We start from the raw sequence: 19,970 nt of genomic DNA, 5'->3' as shown, positions 1-19,970 counted from the left end.
CAGTTCCTGGGGCTCAGAGTCCCTGGCCCAGATGCCTCTTGCCATCTCATCTTCACCCTGCCTGGCTTCCCTTGCTTGTTCCAGGATTGTTTCATAAAGAGGGATGTGGTTGGTCTTTAACCCTATGAATGCTGGCTGAGGATGCCTGCGGAACCTGTAGTGAAGCTTTCAGGGGCTGCTCGGGTTCTGGCTGGTAGGTGAACACTGTCCATCTTGCCGGCTGGGACACAGTGACTCTGGGTAGTTGTGTAAGAGAGGGGCCCTTGGCAGACAAACAGGTTCTTCTCTGTTGGTGGGCCAGCCAGCAGGTCAGTGGGAAGGTTAAAGGTCATGGGGTTTGGGAGAAACTGGGTGAGGAGTTCAGCCCCATCCCCCGTAAAGCTCCTGGGAAGCACTTCTCTACTGGGGCAGCCCCTGATACCAGGGCACTCATTAACCCTCTGGGTGCCAGGGAAAGGGCAGGAGGTGAGTGCTGGGAGGCAGCTGAGGTCAACTTCTTTTGAACTTCCACGTGGTATTTACTCAGAGCAATTGGTGCCAGAGGCTCAGGGCCCTGGAGTATAAAGCAGAATGTCTGCTCTCTGTGCCCAGACGTGAGCAGGTGAGCAGCTGGGGCAGAGGGATGGGGGTCACAGTCCTAAGGGAGGGCATTGCAGGTGGCCTCAGGGGAGAGCCTGGGGTGGCCCCTAAGACGTCCTCTTGGAACATTTTGGCAGAGTTGCCTCTTCGCCCTCATTATGGCTCAGTTTTTCCACCATGAAATGGGAGGGAGGGAGACAGGTGGGCAGGGGAGAGGTGGTAGAAGTGGCCTAGAGAACTGTTCCTGGGGTCTGGGACCTTTGCGAAGGGGTTAGAGCACCACGCTCCCTGCTATGTGACTGAGGTAGCAAGAGCACGCCCTCTTCCCATGTCTGAGGAAGACACCCTAGCCTCCTTGACTCACCTAGGTCAGTCCTCTTGAGCCCCAACAGCTCTGTGCTCCCCAGCCCAAGGAAGGGGTAACAGGATTTCGGGCAGTTGCCCCTGCAGAGGCCCCCTGGGCAAGTCCCCTGCGCCATGTCCCTTCGTCTCCTTCTTCCCCTAACCAGGCCTCCCTCCACCTGTCTTCTCAGAGCAGGTAATGGCAAGCATGGCTGCCGTGCTCACCTGGGCTCTGGCTCTTCTTTCAGGTGGGTCTCCGACCCTGACTTCAACGTGGGGGTGTGGGTGGAGGCTGGCCAGAGGGCCCTGTCCACCCTGGGGGAGGAGAGCCCAGGCCCTGATTACCTAGTCCCTCTCCACAGCGTTTTCGGCCACCCAGGCACGGAAAGGCTTCTGGGACTACTTCAGCCAGACCAGCGGGGACAAAGGCAGGGTGGAGCAGATCCATCAGCAGAAGATGGCTCGCGAGCCCGCGTGAGTGCCCAGGGGAAGGGGTGTAGGCGAAGGGAGGAGACAGCTGGGCCATGCCATGATGACCTGCCTCTGCTGCCTCAACCTCTGTGGCCGCTGCTGGGACAGAGGAAAGGAGCGGTGCTAGCTCTGTCTGCAGATCCCGGCCATCCTGGGCTCTTTAGCGCCCTCTGCCTGCAGCCCCCGCCTTGACAACTCCGTAGCTGTTGCCCCCTTGCTCACTGAGGCGCGGGACCTGGGATCAATCGGGAGGACGCCCGCTGCAGTCCCCAGAATCAAAGGATGATGTGGCGCATCTATGTTTCTTTGGAGAGTGTTGTAGGTCTGGATTTGTATGGGCAATGTGTTTGTGCTTCGTGCGTGAGTTGTTACTGGCCAGGGCTAGGACAAGAGCCCTCGACCCTGGGGCCAACGCCCTGCGTCCTTGGTTCCCCCAGAGGATCAGTGCGCGATGACTTGGGGACAAAGGAGATGATGGAGGCTAGCAGTCTGACGGCCTGGATATCTGTCCCCTTCTCCAGGACCCTGAAAGACAGCCTTGAGCAAGACCTCAACAATATGAACAAGTTCCTGGAAAAGCTGAGGCCTCTGAGTGGGAGCGAGGCTCCTCGGCTCCCACAGGACCCGGTGGGCATGCGGCGGCAGCTGCAGGAGGAGTTGGAGGAGGTGAAGGCTCGCCTCCAGCCCTACATGGCAGAGGCGCACGAGCTGGTGGGCTGGAATTTGGAGGGCTTGCGGCAGCAACTGAAGCCCTACACGATGGATCTGATGGAGCAGGTGGCCCTGCGCGTGCAGGAGCTGCAGGAGCAGTTGCGCGTGGTGGGGGAAGACACCAAGGCCCAGTTGCTGGGGGGCGTGGACGAGGCTTGGGCTTTGCTGCAGGGACTGCAGAGCCGCGTGGTGCACCACACCGGCCGCTTCAAAGAGCTCTTCCACCCATACGCCGAGAGCCTGGTGAGCGGCATCGGGCGCCACGTGCAGGAGCTGCACCGCAGTGTGGCTCCGCACGCCCCCGCCAGCCCCGCGCGCCTCAGTCGCTGCGTGCAGGTGCTCTCCCGGAAGCTCACGCTCAAGGCCAAGGCCCTGCACGCACGCATCCAGCAGAACCTGGACCAGCTGCGCGAAGAGCTCAGCAGAGCCTTTGCAGGCACTGGGACTGAGGAAGGGGCCGGCCCGGACCCCCAGATGCTCTCCGAGGAGGTGCGCCAGCGACTTCAGGCTTTCCGCCAGGACACCTACCTGCAGATAGCTGCCTTCACTCGCGCCATCGACCAGGAGACTGAGGAGGTCCAGCAGCAGCTGGCGCCACCTCCACCAGGCCACAGTGCCTTCGCCCCAGAGTTTCAACAAACAGACAGTGGCAAGGTTCTGAGCAAGCTGCAGGCCCGTCTGGATGACCTGTGGGAAGACATCACTCACAGCCTTCATGACCAGGGCCACAGCCATCTGGGGGACCCCTGAGGATCTACCTGCCCAGGCCCATTCCCAGCTCCTTGTCTGGGGAGCCTTGGCTCTGAGCCTCTAGCATGGTTCAGTCCTTGAAAGTGGCCTGTTGGGTGGAGGGTGGAAGGTCCTGTGCAGGACAGGGAGGCCACCAAAGGGGCTGCTGTCTCCTGCACATCCAGCCTCCTGCGACTCCCCAATCTGGATGCATTACATTCACCAGGCTTTGCAAACCCAGCCTCCCAGTGCTCATTTGGGAATGCTCATGAGTTACTCCATTCAAGGGTGAGGGAGTAGGGAGGGAGAGGCACCATGCATGTGGGTGATTATCTGCAAGCCTGTTTGCCGTGATGCTGGAAGCCTGTGCCACTACATCCTGGAGTTTGGCTCTAGTCACTTCTGGCTGCCTGGTGGCCACTGCTACAGCTGGTCCACAGAGAGGAGCACTTGTCTCCCCAGGGCTGCCATGGCAGCTATCAGGGGAATAGAAGGGAGAAAGAGAATATCATGGGGAGAACATGTGATGGTGTGTGAATATCCCTGCTGGCTCTGATGCTGGTGGGTACGAAAGGTGTGGGCTGTGATAGGAGAGGGCAGAGCCCATGTTTCCTGACATAGCTCTACACCTAAATAAGGGACTGAACCCTCCCAACTGTGGGAGCTCCTTAAACCCTCTGGGGAGCATACTGTGTGCTCTCCCCATCTCCAGCCCCTCCCTCTGGGTTCCCAAGTTGAAGCCTAGACTTCTGGCTCAAATGAAATAGATGTTTATGATAGAAGTTTGCCTGGCGTGACTCTCATTTGGACCATGTCTGAAAGCAGTGGCCTCACCACTATCCCCAAAGCACACCCATCACCCACTCCATTCCCTTGCTGCTCTTTCTCATCCACCCACTCCCAGTCCAGGTCTGTCAAAGGGGGTCTGGCTGGGCTCTGCTTCAGGGATCCTGGCTAGACAACGGCTGTCTGTCACACCTGGCAGGAGGGCCTGGGTTACGGGCCCTTCCTCTGCACCTGCACTGTTCACTAGCCTGCTCCCCCACAGGACACTGTGCATGGAATGCAGGCTGTGTCTGGAAGAGCTGTGGCCCTGGTGGACCTAAGATTCCTGAGGTGGGCTGCCTCCTTTGTTCCTGCTGTTCTAGAGTTTGAATGGCCTCTTTTTATGCCGGACTCTCTTCTGGGGACTCCCCTCACTCAGGGGCACCAATGCTCCCTATAGATCCCCTGGGAACTGAAACTGGGGTGTGGTGGAGGACGTGGAAAGGGTAAACACAGCTCCTTGTCTTTGGACTTCCCTGTCCGGCCCCCTTTCCTCCCAGCTCAGCCTACTGTCCCCGGGTTCTCAGCACCTGCCTGCTCCCCAACCCCATAGCACAGACCCCACACATATGTAGGCTCATCATGCCTGCAGGCTGGTCTTCCCTGACACCGTGGATTTTGACAATGTTGGCAACAGAACTGGGTTGTGGACCCAGCACCTGGAGAGAGGAAGTGCTAGAAAGGTAGAAATAATAAAAGGTGTTTTTGTTGTTGTTAGGAAACTGGAAAAGCATAGGTCAAGGGCTATGATGGGGATGAGGAGGTAGGAGTGAAAATGAGGGCTGTGTACTTGAGGCTGGGATTGGGGAAGGTAGTGATGAGGACAGAATAGGGAGTGGGAAGAACAGAAAGGGACAGAGGGATTCAGGGATTGTGAGAGAGGGGAAGAGGCTGAGCCACCCGGAGGGGCGACCTAGCACGCAAGCAGTATGTGGCCCAACACTGGAACCAAGCAGCCCGGCTCCGGGCGCACCTTCTCAGGGATTCCTCAGGGACAAGTCCAGCCCCTTGTCGTCAAGGCTCTTGTAGACCGACGTAGGGACCAATAGAACCCCGTGCGGTGGAGCTATTGTGAAGGAGCAAAAAAGTGCCCTGGTTCTAAGAGGACGTCTTAGGGGAAGTGACGGCTGAGTTGAGGTGGATCCGGCTGGCGATGTAAGGTTCGAGCCATATAAACCCGGGAACCGGGAGCCCTTGACGACATTGTTCCCCGAGTGCCCGGAGTCTGCGGCTTTTTTTGGGGTGGTGGCAGCTGGCGGAAGTGACGGGAGAGGGGTGGGGCCGCGAGAGCGGCGGAAGTAGGAAGCCGAGGTCTGAATTGCGCGTGGTGGCCATGGCGGCCAGCGGGGCTGTGGAACCAGGGCCCCCGGGGGCTGCCGTCGCCCCGTCGCCCGCCCCGGCCCCGCCGCCTGCCCCTGATCACCTGTTCCGGCCCATCAGCGCCGAGGACGAGGAGCAGCAGCCCACCGAGATCGAGTCGCTATGCATGAACTGTTACTGCAATGTGAGGCGGGGGCGCGGCCGCGAGCGGCGGGTGGGTAGGGCTTGTGCCGGGACGAGCCGGGGGTCAGACCCAGCCAGGTGGGCCCGGCCGGGGACCCCGAGGAGCGCCCGGAGATAGTAGGGCGGGGAAAGGGAGTTTCATTGATTTTTTTCCTTAGCTACTTTCTACTTCACCAGGGCATGACGCGCCTCCTGCTCACCAAGATTCCCTTCTTCAGAGAAATAATAGTGAGCTCCTTTTCCTGCGAGCACTGTGGCTGGAACAACACGGAGATCCAGTCGGCAGGCAGGATCCAGGACCAGGGAGTGCGCTACACTTTGTCTGTCAGGGCTCTGGAGGTGAGAGGACCTCAGAGCAGGTACCTCAGTATTCTAGAGAGAGATTCGGTACTGGGGTCAGAGCTCTGGTCCAGGCGGTCGGATCTTAAATAAATCCCCCTATGTCTCCTAGCCTTAGTTTCTTTTGTAAAATGGTACTGGTGTTGTCATCAGCTCAAGTGAGATAAGATTTGTGAAAATGCTTTGTAAATGTTGTCTGAGGGTATGAAATGAGCAGTAGTTGTTATGAATAGTATTCTCACCATTTGGACAGCCTGGCTCACACCACCTGTACTATTCGAAAGGAGCAGTCTGGACCCTGTGGAGTGGCGAGAGGGAGAGACAGCTGGGCTGCGGTCTGATGGAAGGGGACGGTCTGGTTATTACTTGAGGAGAAGCTGTTCTGCAGTCTCTTTGTACTGAACGTATTCTTTTCTTCCCAGGACATGAACAGAGAAGTGGTGAAGACTGACTCTGCTGCCACAAGGATTCCTGAGCTAGATTTTGAAATTCCTGCCTTTAGCCAGAAAGGAGGTAAGTTTAAGATCAGAGTATTTGGGCTGTTCGCATGTAGCTAGAATCTTACCCTCTTTCTTGCAAAACCCCCTGGTGCCAGGTCTAGTGGTTTGTGTATGGGTTCTACCATGTAATCATTGTGATCTTCATTAGTTAATCATGAGTGGAAAGCTTAGGTAAAACAGCTCGAGATGGTAGAAAGTAATGGTAATACCATAGTGTGTTTATTGTAGAATTTTAGCATCACTATTATCAGACATGAATGGAACCTTGCACCTGGCCTTCTCATTTTACAGATGAGGAAATTAAGACCCAGAGAGTTCAAGTGAATTGCCCAGGGTCATACAGGGACTTGATAGCAGAGCTGAGGCTAAGTCACACTTGTCTTTTGTTCTTGTTCACAAGCTCTGACCACTGTTGAAGGATTGATCACCCGTGCTATCTCTGGCCTGGAGCAGGACCAGCCTGCACGAAGGGTAAGCTGGGGTTTTCTGATTGTAGCAGCTCAAGGAATAATTGCTTATATAGAGTGTCCCATGTGTCTGAAGAGTCTCTGACTAAGTGTTGGAAACTTGCTGGGTAAGCATATGGTGGTGCTGGAGCTGCTAGAATGTTGCATATGTTATAATTATTGTCTTTTCCACTTCCCTCCCTCAGTATATATTCAGGCCTCATCAGACAATATAACATTACCTCTGAAGAGCCTTTCCTAATCCCCTTGGGTTATCTGTGTTTCCTGAGTATTCCACTGCATCTTATATTTATTATGACAGAAGTAATATATTATAGCTGCATCTTTAGTTATTTGTCTCCTTAATTGGTTGGGGAGTCCCATGAGAGGACTGATATATATACTATTATATCTCTAACGTGGCATGAGTGCCTGGGCTAAATGGTTGAATGAGTGAGAAAAAGGAGGCTCACCTGTCACCACCCGTCAACTTCAGGCTTGTTTGCTACATCTCATTGTGAAGCCTGAGTCACTCTGTTTCCACTCACACTGAGATAGGTGGTGACTTCCTAATGGAAGTAACATGGGCATGACAAGGGGCAGGGCATAAGGTACACCACCAGGGCTGATGCTTTACTCTCTGTTCATGGCAGGCAAACAAAGATGCTACAGCTGAAAGAATTGATGAGTTCATTGTCAAACTGAAGGAGCTAAAGCAAGTAGCCTCCCCTTTCACTCTGGTGAGTATTGAGAGGCTGGAGTTGCCCTTGATTAGGGGAGGAGGGACCATTAAGACTGCTGGGATTTTCCACTGTGATGCCTGCGTGGTCTGATAGTAGGTGATGTAGGATTGTTTATGATTTTCTTTTGCAGTGACTCTCTCTTCTCCCATTTGTTAGATCATTGATGATCCCTCAGGGAACAGTTTTGTGGAAAACCCACATGCTCCTCAGAAAGATGATGCCCTGGTGATCACACACTACAACCGGACCCGACAGCAGGAAGAGATGCTGGGGCTTCAAGTAAGTGGACTGAAGGATCCAGAAGAATGCTCTGGAATTATCGCGCACTCTGGATTGCTTGGAGTCAGTGGAACTTATTTTGCTGCTGCTGCTCTGTGTGCCCTATCTCAGCTTGTTTGTGCTTCTCATCTTGCTTATGTCCAGGACTTGGGTAAACTTCACAGAAAGGATGGCAGTGGCTGTGATCCTATCTTAAGTCCTGTTCTTCCTTTGGTTGGGGCTTTACTTTGTGGTTTCTCTAACTGATGAGGTGGCACCTGACATAACTGATGAGGTGGCACCTGAGCATTTCTCCCACTCCAGGGCAGGGTGTTGGGGACACTGAGGTATACCTGCCAACTTGCGACCTGCATCTTTGCTATTTTAGGAAGAAGCACCAGCAGAGAAGCCAGAAGAGGAAGATCTCAGAAATGAAGTGAGTCACATTGGCTACTGGTGAGGAAGGAGCAGAGTTGTGGGCTGAGACTGATGCTGTTCAGCATCTGTCTTCCTTGTCACCAACATAGATGACCACTAGCATACCAACTGAGTGTCTTTAGCCTGAACATCCCATCTGGGAGGGCTCACCCTTTGTCCTCATGTTGTGTTCCAGGTGCTCCAGTTCAGCACAAACTGCCCAGAATGCAATGCCCCCGCTCAGACCAACATGAAGCTAGTACGTATCTTTTGCCAAGCAGTTGGGTTGCTCTTCATCTGACTCAGGCATGAAGATTATAATCAGGCTGGGAGCATCCCTTTCAAGGAAAACACATGCTTTATACCCAGTGATAAGGAAGATATTATCTTTGATTAGACTGTGTACCTTGGGTTTTGTGTTCAAAGAGAAAATTAGGCCATGGTCACTAGGCTGTGTGTGTGTGACCTGAGCCATGCCTTCAAATGTGTGAACAGGGATTGCCATGGGTTGGGAACTTGCCCTCTTCTGGAGGACTCTGTGGGCTGCCTCTTGTGAATATTTCCTGCAGTTCTGGGACCAGCATATGTTTGTGTGGGGTTTGGCTTTGTTTTTCCCCAGATGGTGGTCTTGTTCGCCTGGAAGTAGATTTCCTTAACTCCGTTTTCCAGAAATCCCTCACTTTAAGGAGGTTATCATCATGGCTACCAACTGCGAGAACTGTGGGCATCGGACCAATGAGGTGGGTGGGCGCCATTATTTGGGAAGAAGACTAGCTTAAGGGTAACCCCCTTTTAACTATCATTCTTCCTAAGTACTTCAGTACTCGGGGGCAGGGGGTGTAGAGTAGCTTGGGTCTTTTTCTTAGGTCTAGTGCAGGGTGATGAGCCCTTGAAGGAATGGGAATTAGCCTAGAGAAGAAAAGTTAGAGATTCTATAACTTGTTTAAGACATATTAAAGGTTGATGATATGGAAGAGAGAAGTCTTTTGACCCACTCCTCAGAGGTGTGGAAGTTCAGGGAGGCAGACTTTGACTTCACAATGAAGAACTCAATAGAGCTGTCTGAAAATAGAATGAGCTGCCTTAGAGAATTATAAATTCCCTTCCCCTGAGTGTATCTGAGTATAAGCTAATTAAATTCTTTAACCAGAATATTATAAAGGAGACCCACACATTGGATGCAGTGGATGAAAGGACTGCAATAAATGCTTAAAAGTCTCTTTCAACCCCAAAAGTCTTTTTTTTTTTTTTTTTTTTAAGGTAAATTCAGAGTTTATTGGCAATTTGGGATAAGTTTTGGCACGTTACCAGGGTTGGGCACTGTTCCTGGCCAGCTCTTGGTGTTTTTGGTTTGGGCGACTGCTGTTTAGAAGGCTCTTTCTTTGGTAGCTATTAATGGCCCTAACTGATTGGATGTCCAAGCCTACACTCCAGGTCTCCTGGGTACCAAGTGAGGCTCAGGTCTTCTCTCTGTTGCTCCTGACTGTTATCGATGCAGGTGAAATCTGGAGGAGCAGTAGAACCCTTGGGCACCAGGATCACCCTCCACATCACAGATGCCTCAGATATGACCAGAGACCTCCTCAAGGTAACAGTCTGCTTGGGAAAGTCACTGTTGTCCTCATAAGTTAGATAAACTGTCTCTATCTAGGGGAAGTTGTCTTTTAGAAATAATGTTCAGGGACATGAGGTATCTCCTACTTCCCTGGCTTTGAGGACCCCTGAGCAGAGGGAGTTAATCTAAGATTGGAATTGCAGGTTTAGAAGGTGACCCTGTTAGCTCTTTCTGATGACCTGGTAGCTTTTTGGCCTCCAGTGTCTATCTGGGTCCTCTTCTCTGTCTGTCCCCTAGTGACAGGATACCTGACAGCTCGAAGCTATGACTGAGTTTCCCTTTATTAAGTTGGATCTATTCCCGTGGTTCAGATGGACAGGAGTGAGTCTCAAGCTTTAACAAGGGAGTCAGAGAAAACTGAGACAGCTGCCCTTGTCCGCAGTCTATCACTGCTGGTATTAATTGGGCAGGAGGCCTCTGGTTGGCTTTCTTTGCTTCTGACTTAAAGCTTAAACTGACCTCTCATTTCACAGTCTGAGACTTGCAGTGTGGAAATCCCAGAGCTAGAATTTGAACTGGGAATGGCAGTCCTCGGGGGCAAGTTCACCACACTGGAAGGGCTGCTGAAAGACATCCGGGAACTGGTGAGTCACTTGAGTAGTGTGTAAACCACCTTTGAGCAATTTGGCTGTGTGAAGAGGGACTGGAAGACTTCAGACATCCTAATTTTCGGTGCTGGTAACTGTGGGTTTCTTTGCCTTAAAGCTGGTTTAAGAGACTTAAATATTACTTTGGATGGTGAAGACAAGTTTATGGGAAATGTTGAATGGAAATTCCAGGCCTAACTTTGGGACTTTATAGTTATTTTGTGGTCTTGGACAAGTCATTTATTTTACTGTAAAGTTAGGGGATGAGGGTCCTTCTAGCACCTAAAACTTCCCAACATAAAAAACATACATGTATGGGTTGACTTAGCCCAAATGTTTATCTCCTTGATGAATTATTTCACTTGATTCTCTGTTGGGCATTTTGTATTTGTAAATTGTACTTTTTCTTTGCATTTCTTCTCCAAATTAGTATCAGAGATCATATTCTAAGAACATGTTTCGATTTTGTTTTACATTGCCAGTTTTGTTATCTTGGCACATTATCCCATAGACTCCTAGGAGTGACTGCCTTGGTCAGAAAGGTGGTGTGGGCTAAATGGAAACCAAGTTTCCCTGACAGGGCACCCACTGTCACCCCCTGCCTAGTTTATGGTCAGGCCTAACAAATATAAAGCCAGTATTCACATAGTTTGGATTATCATTTATTGCAGGTGACCAAAAATCCTTTCACACTGGGCGACAGTTCCAATCCTGGACAGACGGAGAGACTACAGGAGTTTAGCCAGAAGATGGACCAGGTAAGAGGTCACTGGCCAGTCAGTACTTAGAATCCTGGGGCTCCAGTGAACAGGAGGCTGCATGCTCATGTCTTGCCACTTTTTGAACATCTAACCATCATGTTGGGGATTCTTCTTCTGGTTTTCTTTTCTTTTTTTTTTTTTTGGAGACAGAGTCTCGTTCTGTTGCCCAGGCTGGAGTGCAGTGGCGTGATCTCGGCTCACTGCAACCTCTGCCTCCCGGGTTCATGCGATTCTGCTGCCTCAGCCTCCCGAGTAGCTGGGATTACAGGCGCACACCACCACGCCTGGCTAATTTTTTGTATTTTTAGTAGAGACAGGGTTTCACTATGTTGGCCAGACTGGTCTCGAACTCCTGACCTCGTGATCTGCCTGCCTGGGCTTCCCAAAGTGCTGGGATTACAGGCGTGAGCCACCGCACCTGGCCCTCTTCTGGTTTTCTATATTCCACGTCTTCTTTCTTGTTTTTCTCCCTTATTTTGTTAGAGCATCTTCTCCAGTAGCTTCCTGGGAAAAAGTGCATGGGAAATAAAATTTCTGGGACCTTCCACATCTGAACATGTCTTTATTCTGTTATCACACTAGAGTGATTATTGGCTGGGAATACGATTCTAGGATAGAAATAATTTTTTATCAGAATTTCGAAGACTGCACTATGGTCTTCCAGTTTGGTAAAGACATTGTACTATAGTCTTCCACTTTGGCTATTGAGAAGTCTGAAGCCATTTGATTCCTGGTCTTTTATATGTGACCTAGTCTTGTGATCTCTTCGTTTCCTTTGATGTGAAATTTCAGGGTGTGCCTTGGTGTGGGTCAGTTTTCATCCACTGGGCTAAGCACTTGGTAGATGTATTTTTTCAGTCTGGAAAACTCATGTGGTTCAGTTCTAGGAAGCTTTCATGAATTATTCTATTGAAGATTATCTTTTTTCTGATTTTTTTTTTCTGTTCTTTCTGAAAACTCCTGGGTTTTAGATATTAGACTTACTTGTCTGGTCTTCTATAATTTACTCTTTTTTTGGTCCTATTTTTGGTTTCTTGGTTTTTTTGTTCTTCTTTGGGAGATTCCCTCAACTTTATTTTCCAACCCTTCAATTGAGGTTTTCATTTCCACTAAAACTTTTATTTTCCAAGGAGCTTTTTAAAAAATAGCATCCTGTCTTAAGGATGTAGTATTTTTTCTTCTTGAGGATTATTATTTTTTAAATTTTTTCAGCATGCAGTTTATATAGCACTTATTGATACTGATGTTGGATCTTTTTTGACATTTTATTCTCCTTGCATCCTTTTTTTCCCCATTTGATTTCCCATCTTTCAGTGTTAAGGGCTTTGCTCAGATGTCTGATAATCATTGATTGTCTTCTTACAAGTAGCGGGCTAAAGACCTGAGTAGGGGGTGAGCCTTGTTGACATGGGGCTTATTACAGGGGAATTTAACTTAGCTGTTTTGCTGAGGTGGCCTCCAATGCCAGAATTGTTAGGTCTTTCCTCTTGGGCTAGTCAGACAAAGAGGCTATGCCTGCCAGACAAGAACCAACCCAATTTATATTACAGAATCCTCCAAAGTTTTAAGAATTGGTGAAATTAGGTAGCTCTGAAAGTAGAGGGGAAAGGATCTAAAATAAGGACTGTTAGAAAAGCCAACATCAGCAAGCTGTGGACCAGGGGGTGCTGGCCCAGTTGAAGGTAGAGGGAAAGGACTCAAGAACAAGGAGGTTAAATGACTGTGGCTGCTCCATTTCCTGGCCTGAGGGTAAAGGCTTGGCTGGCAGTGTTCTGAGAGCTGTGGGAAGGGGGCTGGGGTGTGTATGTATTCTGTTTCCCATAAGCTTACATTCATTTAACCTACTTGTTCTTGATTCCTTTCCCTCTACCTTCAACTGGGCCAGCACCCCCTAGTCCACAGCTTGCTGATGTTGGCTTTTCTAACAGTCCTTATTTTAGAACCTTTCCCCTCTACTTTCAGAGCTACCTAATTTCACCAATTCTTAAAACTTTTGGGGATTCTGTAATATAAATTGGGTTGGTTCTTGTCTGGCAGGCATAGCCTCTTTTTTTAAAAATTTTTCTTTACTTTCATTTATTTCATTTCTTTTTTTATTTATATATATATTTATTATACTTAAGTTCTAGGGTACATGTGCACAACGTGCAGGTTTGTTACATATGTATACATGTGCCATGTTGGTGTGCTGTACCCATTAACTAGTCATTTACATTAGGTATATCTCCTAATGCTATCCCTCCCCCCTCCCCCGACATAGCCTCTTTTTACCAGGGGTTATGTAAAATTTACTTGCTGTGTTCTCTCTCTCCTTTAGATCATCGAAGGTAACATGAAGGCCCACTTTATTATGGATGATCCAGCAGGAAACAGTTACTTGCAGGTATAGTAGACCTTCCCTGATGTTTCATAGAGATACATTTTCTGATCTTCCTTGAATATGTATCATTTCCCTAGAAACTGAAAGACTTGATTCTAAATGGACTGCTTTTTACCAAGGAGGCAGAAGTTAGAAGATACATAAGGGAGAAAAGAGGGGGGTGTGGGAGGGGATTTTTTTTTTAAGTGTATGTAAAGAAGGAAAAAAAAAGGATACTCTGAGGCCCCTTTTTTTTCTGTAGTCAAGCTCTTGTCCCAGTTCTGGAGTTTTCATTTTGCAAATCTGATTATGGATTGAGGAGAAATGGTACCTTGTCCGGAGGCCAAGATAGGAAACTGATAGGCTTTAAGTTGACTGAGGAGAGAGTCTGGTGATTGATGTACCTTTACCATTTATTGGATACTTACCATGGGTCAGGCAAAACTCTTCTAAGTTCTTTCCAAGATTAAGACCATTTGTCATACTTTTCATAAGAAGGTGCAGATATAACAAAATAGGTGGATTGTTCCCTGATTCTGGGGCTGGGGTCTTCTACCCCTGGCCCATGTGGGCTCTGTTGCTACCCACTAGTTCAGTCTAGCCATGGGAAATTGGAGGCCAATAAAAAGAAAAAAACCCAAAACTCATTCTGTTCTTGGGAAGGTGGGAATTGGAAGCTGCCTGCAGAGAGGGGGAGTGGCACAGCGGCACTGATTGTCTCTCCTTGACCTTGCAGAATGTGTATGCGCCTGAAGATGATCCTGAGATGAAGGTGGAGCGTTACAAGCGCACCTTTGACCAAAATGAGGAGCTAGGGCTCAATGACATGAAGACAGAGGGCTATGAGGCAGGCCTGGCTCCGCAACGGTAGCAGTGGGTGGCTCAAGGGCCAGCCTCCAGCGCTGCTCTTTCTGTAGGTTATTTATTAGTATTGGATGAAGGCGAAGGCTGGGAGTGTCTTTCCCACCAGCCCTTGCCCATGGTGGGGAGGACATCTGGTCTGAGTCAGAGATCTGTGCACACTTTCTAAACAGCTTGTGATGCAAGTGTGAGCCTATTGTGTTACTTGACCTTATTTTGGAAGTTTTGAATTGGCCTAGGAGGAAACCCAGAAATGAACCAGGGGTATGTCATCACTTTTTTCATATCAAGTCCTCACCCTCCTTCCACATAATGCTCTATCCTCTAAGGTTGGAACTCTGAAGTTGGAGAAGGTGGAATAAAGTTACACCTGGAGTTTGTTGTTGGTTTTGAGTATATAAAATACTGACTTTGAACAGGAAAGGAGTCTCCTGAGGGGAGACCGAGTCCAGCACAAGTGAAGGAGTTACCATTGAAATGATGACTTTCAAACAGCACTGGCCTCTGTATTGACCCTATCCTTGTTTGATATCATGCTGTTAGAATTCAGCCTCCTAAAGAAAATTTTCCCGTGTATCTACTGTAATTTGGGGATTGCAGCTGGCATTTAATTCATTCCTTCAGCAGATGCTTGCTTATCTACTTTATGCCAAGCACACCACAGAACAGAGGACAAAATAAATCTCTTTCATGGAACTTGAAGTCTAGTGGGGAAAAATGACAATAAACAGATCAGGAAAACAGTACATCAGATGGTGATTAGTGTCATGGAGGAATGTAAAGCAGGGAATGGGGCTGGGTTGTGCAAGGAAATGGGGAGTAGGGAAGATCTTCTGAACAAGAAGGTGATAATTTGACATTTGGGCAAAGCTGAGGAGGAGGTCAGGGAGTGAGCTGTGTGGGTATCTGGGGGAAGAGATTTCCTGGCAGAGGGAACTGCAAATGCTAGAGCTGTGAGGTTAGAGCCAGTGGGGGTACCTGATCAGTTAGCCCTACTCTCAGTTAGAAATGTTGAAACACATTCATCCAGAGAGAAAGGAGGCTCTCTGCAGTTCTTCTGAAAGTTAAGGACCAGTGAACACTCTGCTGCTTGGGCCCTGGACTTCCCAGCCAGTGTTCTTTGCACTGTAGTCTCCTGCCTCTCATAAACAAAAGGTGACTCCTGTGGTGCAGACTGCAGGGTATTTGTTCAATAAAGACCAGTTCATTGATTAAGATGTTATCACAAACCTTATTGCTTTGTGTTGCAAACTTTTTTTTTTTTTTTTTTTGGTAGAGACAGAGTCTCGCGCTGTTGCCCAGGCTGGAGTGCAGTGGTGTGATCTTGGCTTATTGCAACCTTTGCCTCCCGGGTTTAAGCAATTCTGCCTCAGCCTCCCGAGTAGCGGGGACTACAGGCGCACGCCGCCACACCCAGCTAATTTCTTTTGTATTTTAGTAGAGACGGGGTTTCACCGTGTTGCCCAGGCTGGTCTCGAACTCCTGAGCTCAGGCAATCCGCCAGCCTTGGCCTCCCAAAGTGCTAGGATTACAGGCGTGAGCTACCGCGTCCGGCTGTGTTGCAAACTTAACTCTGAAGAATGAGTTAGAGATGATTTAGCAATCAGACATCTACTCTCGTTGCTCTGTTAAACTACTCTCAAAGGTCACAAGTGATTTTCCACTTGGAAAGTGTTATCTATTTCTGTCACATTTGATAGTGGACCATCTCTTCTTAACCCTTCTTTTGGCTCTCGAGATACTGTACCCTTGGTTTTCCCTTCACTTTGAATATTTCTTATTTGGACACTTTGCCTCCTCCCCTCTTACTAAATTTGTTTCTGAGAGTTCTGCTTTCAGACATCTCTCCATATCAGATTCTTTGGCATCTTACTATCATGTGGGACTAACTTCCATACCTGTATCTCTAATTTCTGTAAGTGAGGGCGAGAGTAAGGTGTTTGGAGACTCAGGTTAGCAAATGACTCATTCAAACTATAAAGCTTCAGTACTTTGGGCAAACTTCTCACAGGCAACTATTCTACCCTAAGAGATTATCTCTAGGTATGTTTCCAGCTGACTTGGGAATCTAAGTTTACCAGACAACCCTCTGATCTATCATTTGGTCTCTTAAGTAGACTTCCCCATAGTGTAGGTGTGCTCTGTTAAGATAAACTGCAGTATCAGGTTCATTTTCCATTGTGAAGGAAAAAAAATGGCACTCTGGCTTATTACTGAATCTCTTGTGAGTTTGGTTGGTGTGAGGCAATCTCCCAGAATCCACCCAGTTCCTAGGAAATGATGACCTGAGTTTCTGAACTTGAAGACTGAGGACCAGGTGCCAGACTGGGATAACCCAGCTAAGGTACTTCCTGCCCTTTGATGACAAGGCATTCTTCAGTTTCATACCCTTCTCTTGAATTATCTTTCAGCTCCTTTCTCATTTCATAAAGTGTGTCAGGATGGGAGCTTACATATAGTTAACTGAGTCTTGCTCCACAGCACCCAGCATATGACACATGGTTAATAAAATCTGTTAAAATCCTCCATCATAGATTAAACCCTATTAGGACACTAGGGATAACATCTATAGGTAAAAAGATAGGGAAAGGGTCTCGCTTTAAGGCCAGGGTAGGTGAGTCAAAGTGCCAGGAACATGTGGATTCAGTTTCACAGCCATGAGTAACATTTAAGTGGAAAAGGTTTGTGATTGTGTTAAAAAAGGAAAGTGGTTCATGCATGAGGGCACGCCTCCTACTTTCATGGGTCAAGTATGTGAAATGCAGCCATGTTCGGTCATTAGACGTGTGGACGAACATACAGGTAGGTACTGAATGTACATCTGTGTCATGATGAGTGGAGGAGGGGAGGTGAGTGTTGGGAGCAAGTATGAAGGGCAGTTGACTTGGCCAACTGAAAACTTTAATGATGGCAACACTTTCATTCTAACATCAGTATATTTCCTTCTTTGTACACCTGTGGTATGTGCCTGATGCACACTGCAGAAAATGGTGTCTCTGCTTACATTTAGGGCAGTGGTGGCTAAGACTACTTGGCTTTATTCCTATTAAAAAATGTTTTTTACACACTTCTTTTTAAGGCAAATGGCAGTGTTTCCAACTGTGGAGAGAAAAAGCTGCTTATTTTGTGCGTTCACCTCAGTTTAGTATTGGCACTTCCAATGCTTGTTTTCCTAGTCTGTAAAATGGGGATAATTAGGATAAACAAAATTATCCCCATTTTACAGGTGACAAAACAGCCTCAGAGAGGTTACTTCCAGAAGGAAGCAGAGCTTTTTTTTTTTTTTTTTTTTTTTTTTTTTTTTTTTGAGACGGAGTCTCACTCTGTTGCCCAGACTGGAGTGCAGTGGCGTGATCTTGGCTCACCACAACCTCTGCCTCCCAGGTTCAAGCGATTCTCTTGCCTCAGCCTTCTGAGTAGCTGGGACTACAGGTGCACGCCACCATGCCTGGCTAATTTTTTTTTTTTTTTTTTTTTTGGAGACAGTCTTGCTCTGTCACCCAGGATGGAGTGCAGTGGTGCGATCTTGGCTCACTGCAGCCTTGCCTCCTGGGTTCAAGCAATTCTCCTGCCTCAGCCTCCTGAGTAGCTGGGATTACAGACGCCCACCACTGCACCCAGCTAATTTTTGTATTTTTAGTAGAGATGGGGTTTCACCATGTTGGTCAGGCTGGTCTCAAACCCCTGACCTCGTGATCCACCTGCCTTGGCCTCCCAAAGTGCAGGGATTACAGGCGTGAGCCACCGTGCCTGGCCAGAAGTAGAGCTTCTAAGAGGCAGGTGTCAAACCCATGCCAGTCAGACTCTGAAACCTGAGGTCTGAATATTTTAAGCTCAGCTCCACAATTACTGTATTTGTTCTATTAGATACAACTGCAGAGAGAGGCCAAAGCTCAGAGCAGGCCATTGGCACGGCATCTGATCCTGCTTAACTGCCCTGCAGCACAGGGTGGAGACACTTGGGCCTTGTCAGGCTAAGGGACTGGGGTAGGATGGGTAGCAGTGGAATTGAAGACAAAGAAAACAAATGGGCAGAAGATGGGTGGGTGGAAGTTCAGAGGGCTATCCTGGCAGTGTTCACTGGAGCAGAAGTGTGAGGCTTTCTGAATGCCTGCTGACACCAGGGTGGGGCAGGGCTGTGTAGTGTGAGATGCACCAAATTGGACGAGAAGCCAAGGCAGGCTTGTGTATGGGGTACCCTGGGGCCCTCCGCCTAGTGAAGCCCTATCTTCTCAGCCCAGCGTCCTCGTCTCACAAGCCCTCAGAGCCCCAGCCTGCTTTCCTTTCTGGGCCTGTGCTGCAACCCCCTCAACATGGCCCACTGGGTAAAAATTCATGCTTCAAGACTGATCCCCAAGCCTGTTTTGTATTATATGAGTAAAGAATTTTTTAAACACTTATCCCCAGATAATGTGTATTTATTTATAAAGTATAGCCCTGTCTGCTTGACTAATATATTAAAAAAGTGACCTTTTTGACTCTTGGTCCAAGAAACTATTGTTTGCACTTTTGTGTAGTTGTGTATAGCATCCTGCAAATTCTGTCAGAAGTCTGTGATTTCAGTAACACTAAAACTTCTCTCTCAAATGGTACAAGTTTTCAGTTTTAAGACAAGTTCTGGGAATCTAATGTACAACATGTTGACTATAGCTAATAATTCTGTATTGTTTACTTGAAGTTTGCTAAGACAAATTTGCTTAAGTGCCCCCCCACCGAACTACTACATAAATTAGTGAAGGATGTTTTACTTAATTTGATTTTGGTAATCATTACACAATGTATAATTATATCCAGTCATCACATTGTACACCTTGAATATATATAATTTTTTGTCAAATAATAAAGCTGGGAAGAAAACGATAAAACTGACAATCTAACATATATGATGAGGTAAAAAGATCTGGTATTTCAAGAAATTTGGATGACCTCTTGCACCCCACTTCGCTAGCCTCTACTCCCTAGAGTCATGTTCTGACTATGTGAAGTTGAGCAACTTCCTTAATCTTGCCACGCTTCAGTTCTTATCTGTAAAATATGATAATGAAACGATTTGAGAATTGTGAGGGTTAAATGAGATAATTCAGGTAAAGCTCTAAACCCCCTGCAAAGAATAAAGTCTTTTCTTTCCCCCCAAAACTTGAGTGTTAGAATTCATTCTCTCTGGTTTCTCTCTTTTACTATGCTAAAAAATGATCCAGGTCCGTCCTTCTCATTGGCAAGATTGTTTTACAGTTTCCTTCAAGAGATAACTGGGGGCTACTTGTAATAGAACACTAGAAGAGTTACACAGGTCTTAGAAACTACGTTTTTCATAGTAATTATGTTGGTTTGCACTTCCTGGCTTCCTTTCTTGGACGGTAGGTACCTGGAAGCCTAGTGGAGCAGATTCCCCCCACTTAAAGATACTTATAAAAATAACGAACATAGTTCCGATGACCATGTGCCCAACACCGCTCTGCGCACTTCACACAGTAATATCATCTCAGCCTGTGACCGTTCCGAGTTAGGTGCCGGGATTCTCCCTGTTTTGTGATAACTTGCCCGAGGTCGTACAGCTAGCCAGCTATGGAACCAGTATTCAAACTCGGCTACGCTGCAGCCCGTGGCCCTCCACTTTCTTGCTCGTGCTCTGGAGTTTAGGCGGCCGATGGGGGCGGGGTCCTTTGGGTCAGGTTGTGGCCTCATAGAACAGCGCTTGCTGCGGTTGGATGGATGGGTGGGTGGGTGGGTGAGTGAATGAAGAGAAGAAACCTGGTGGCGTCGTCCCAGGGCTGTGGAGCGCCCCGAAGGTGCGCACGTCCCTGGCTAGCCTGCGAGCGCGTCCCGGTGGCCGCACCTGCCAGCCGCGCGATTCTTAGCACTCTCCGCCACTTCCGGCCGTGGCCCCGCCCTGTCGGGTGGCTGGCGTCCGTTACGCGTTGAGG

General features: G+C 48.4%; 2 protein-coding genes and 1 long non-coding RNA gene across 7 annotated transcripts, besides 8 other annotated features; 2 read left to right on the top strand and 1 right to left on the bottom strand.

Moving 5' to 3' along the window:
- Positions 150-1,935: an enhancer blocking element, noted in NCBI's record as "candidate insulator 11-1-2; CTCF association and DNase I hypersensitivity in multiple cell types". NCBI's record gives its function as "blocks activity of the beta-globin HS2 enhancer when located between the enhancer and the Agamma-globin gene promoter in a lentiviral reporter assay in K562 erythroleukemia cells {active_cell/tissue: K562}" and the evidence as "EXISTENCE:reporter gene assay evidence [ECO:0000049][PMID:24098520]".
- On the top strand, positions 561-3,614 carry APOA5 (apolipoprotein A5). 3 transcript variants are annotated; one of them, NM_001166598.2, is made up of 4 exons: positions 561-601; positions 1,113-1,169; positions 1,284-1,395; positions 1,914-3,614. In NM_001166598.2, exons 2-4 carry the CDS (start codon positions 1,121-1,123, stop codon positions 2,851-2,853), a joined length of 1,101 nt encoding a protein of 366 aa, NP_001160070.1. In that variant the 5' UTR covers positions 561-601; positions 1,113-1,120; the 3' UTR covers positions 2,854-3,614. The 3 variants fall into 3 exon arrangements, with proteins under 3 accessions (NP_001160070.1, NP_443200.2, NP_001358833.1); NM_052968.5 differs by having other exon boundaries at positions 1,089-1,169; NM_001371904.1 differs by lacking the exon at positions 561-601 and having other exon boundaries at positions 1,102-1,169.
- Positions 4,656-4,935: an enhancer, noted in NCBI's record as "active region_5556". NCBI's record gives its function as "activates an Ori minimal core promoter by ATAC-STARR-seq in GM12878 lymphoblastoid cells {active_cell/tissue: GM12878}" and the evidence as "EXISTENCE:reporter gene assay evidence [ECO:0000049][PMID:35858748]".
- Positions 4,656-4,971: a biological region, named in NCBI's record as "ReSE screen-validated silencer GRCh37_chr11:116658726-116658949".
- Positions 4,748-4,971: a silencer, noted in NCBI's record as "fragment chr11:116658726-116658949 (GRCh37/hg19 assembly coordinates)". NCBI's record gives its function as "represses an EF-1alpha promoter that drives an FKBP-Casp9 reporter gene in an ReSE screen in K562 erythroleukemia cells {active_cell/tissue: K562}" and the evidence as "EXISTENCE:reporter gene assay evidence [ECO:0000049][PMID:32094911]".
- ZPR1 (ZPR1 zinc finger) lies at positions 4,958-19,182 on the top strand. Of its 3 annotated transcripts, NM_003904.5 has the most exons (14): positions 4,958-5,161; positions 5,338-5,499; positions 5,922-6,012; positions 6,400-6,470; positions 7,099-7,185; positions 7,345-7,467; positions 7,835-7,882; positions 8,060-8,126; positions 8,533-8,603; positions 9,362-9,451; positions 9,952-10,062; positions 10,737-10,823; positions 13,144-13,209; positions 13,922-19,182. In NM_003904.5, exons 1-14 carry the CDS (start codon positions 4,991-4,993, stop codon positions 14,054-14,056), a joined length of 1,380 nt encoding a protein of 459 aa, NP_003895.1. In that variant the 5' UTR covers positions 4,958-4,990; the 3' UTR covers positions 14,057-19,182. The 3 variants fall into 3 exon arrangements, with proteins under 3 accessions (NP_003895.1, NP_001304015.1, XP_047283760.1); NM_001317086.2 differs by lacking the exon at positions 5,338-5,499; XM_047427804.1 differs by lacking the exons at positions 9,362-9,451; positions 9,952-10,062; positions 10,737-10,823; positions 13,144-13,209; positions 13,922-19,182 and having other exon boundaries at positions 8,060-8,122; positions 8,483-8,600.
- Positions 5,006-5,255: a silencer, noted in NCBI's record as "silent region_3924". NCBI's record gives its function as "represses an Ori minimal core promoter by ATAC-STARR-seq in GM12878 lymphoblastoid cells {active_cell/tissue: GM12878}" and the evidence as "EXISTENCE:reporter gene assay evidence [ECO:0000049][PMID:35858748]".
- Positions 17,913-18,082: an enhancer, noted in NCBI's record as "active region_5555". NCBI's record gives its function as "activates an Ori minimal core promoter by ATAC-STARR-seq in GM12878 lymphoblastoid cells {active_cell/tissue: GM12878}" and the evidence as "EXISTENCE:reporter gene assay evidence [ECO:0000049][PMID:35858748]".
- BUD13-DT (BUD13 divergent transcript) lies at positions 18,776-19,510 on the bottom strand. Its single transcript, NR_186226.1, has 2 exons — positions 19,470-19,510; positions 18,776-19,071 (listed from the first exon to the last, which is right to left on the bottom strand). It is a non-coding gene; the product is annotated as a BUD13 divergent transcript (long non-coding RNA).
- Positions 19,446-19,535: an enhancer, noted in NCBI's record as "active region_5554". NCBI's record gives its function as "activates an Ori minimal core promoter by ATAC-STARR-seq in GM12878 lymphoblastoid cells {active_cell/tissue: GM12878}" and the evidence as "EXISTENCE:reporter gene assay evidence [ECO:0000049][PMID:35858748]".
- Positions 19,656-19,855: a silencer, noted in NCBI's record as "silent region_3923". NCBI's record gives its function as "represses an Ori minimal core promoter by ATAC-STARR-seq in GM12878 lymphoblastoid cells {active_cell/tissue: GM12878}" and the evidence as "EXISTENCE:reporter gene assay evidence [ECO:0000049][PMID:35858748]".

Source organism: Homo sapiens, chromosome 11 (assembly GCF_000001405.40).
Source record: "Homo sapiens chromosome 11, GRCh38.p14 Primary Assembly".
In the NCBI taxonomy this organism is placed as follows: Eukaryota; Metazoa; Chordata; class Mammalia; order Primates; family Hominidae; genus Homo; species Homo sapiens.
The sequence above is the reverse complement of the archived record's forward strand: the minus strand, read 5'-3'. Positions and strand labels throughout refer to the sequence as shown.

Excerpts from the sequence above, each read along its gene's own strand:
- ZPR1 (NM_003904.5), top strand. The coding sequence starts at position 4,991 with ATGGCGGCCAGCGGGGCTGTGGAACCAGGGCCCCCGGGGGCTGCCGTC. Across the intron at positions 5,500-5,921 it reads TGTCTGTCAGGGCTCTGGAG|GACATGAACAGAGAAGTGGT; the intron begins GTGAGAGGACCT and ends TTTTCTTCCCAG. Across the intron at positions 7,186-7,344 it reads TAGCCTCCCCTTTCACTCTG|ATCATTGATGATCCCTCAGG; the intron begins GTGAGTATTGAG and ends CCCATTTGTTAG.
- APOA5 (NM_001166598.2), top strand. The coding sequence starts at position 1,121 with ATGGCAAGCATGGCTGCCGTGCTCACCTGGGCTCTGGCTCTTCTTTCA. Across the intron at positions 1,170-1,283 it reads GGCTCTGGCTCTTCTTTCAG|CGTTTTCGGCCACCCAGGCA; the intron begins GTGGGTCTCCGA and ends CCCTCTCCACAG. Across the intron at positions 1,396-1,913 it reads AAGATGGCTCGCGAGCCCGC|GACCCTGAAAGACAGCCTTG; the intron begins GTGAGTGCCCAG and ends CCCCTTCTCCAG.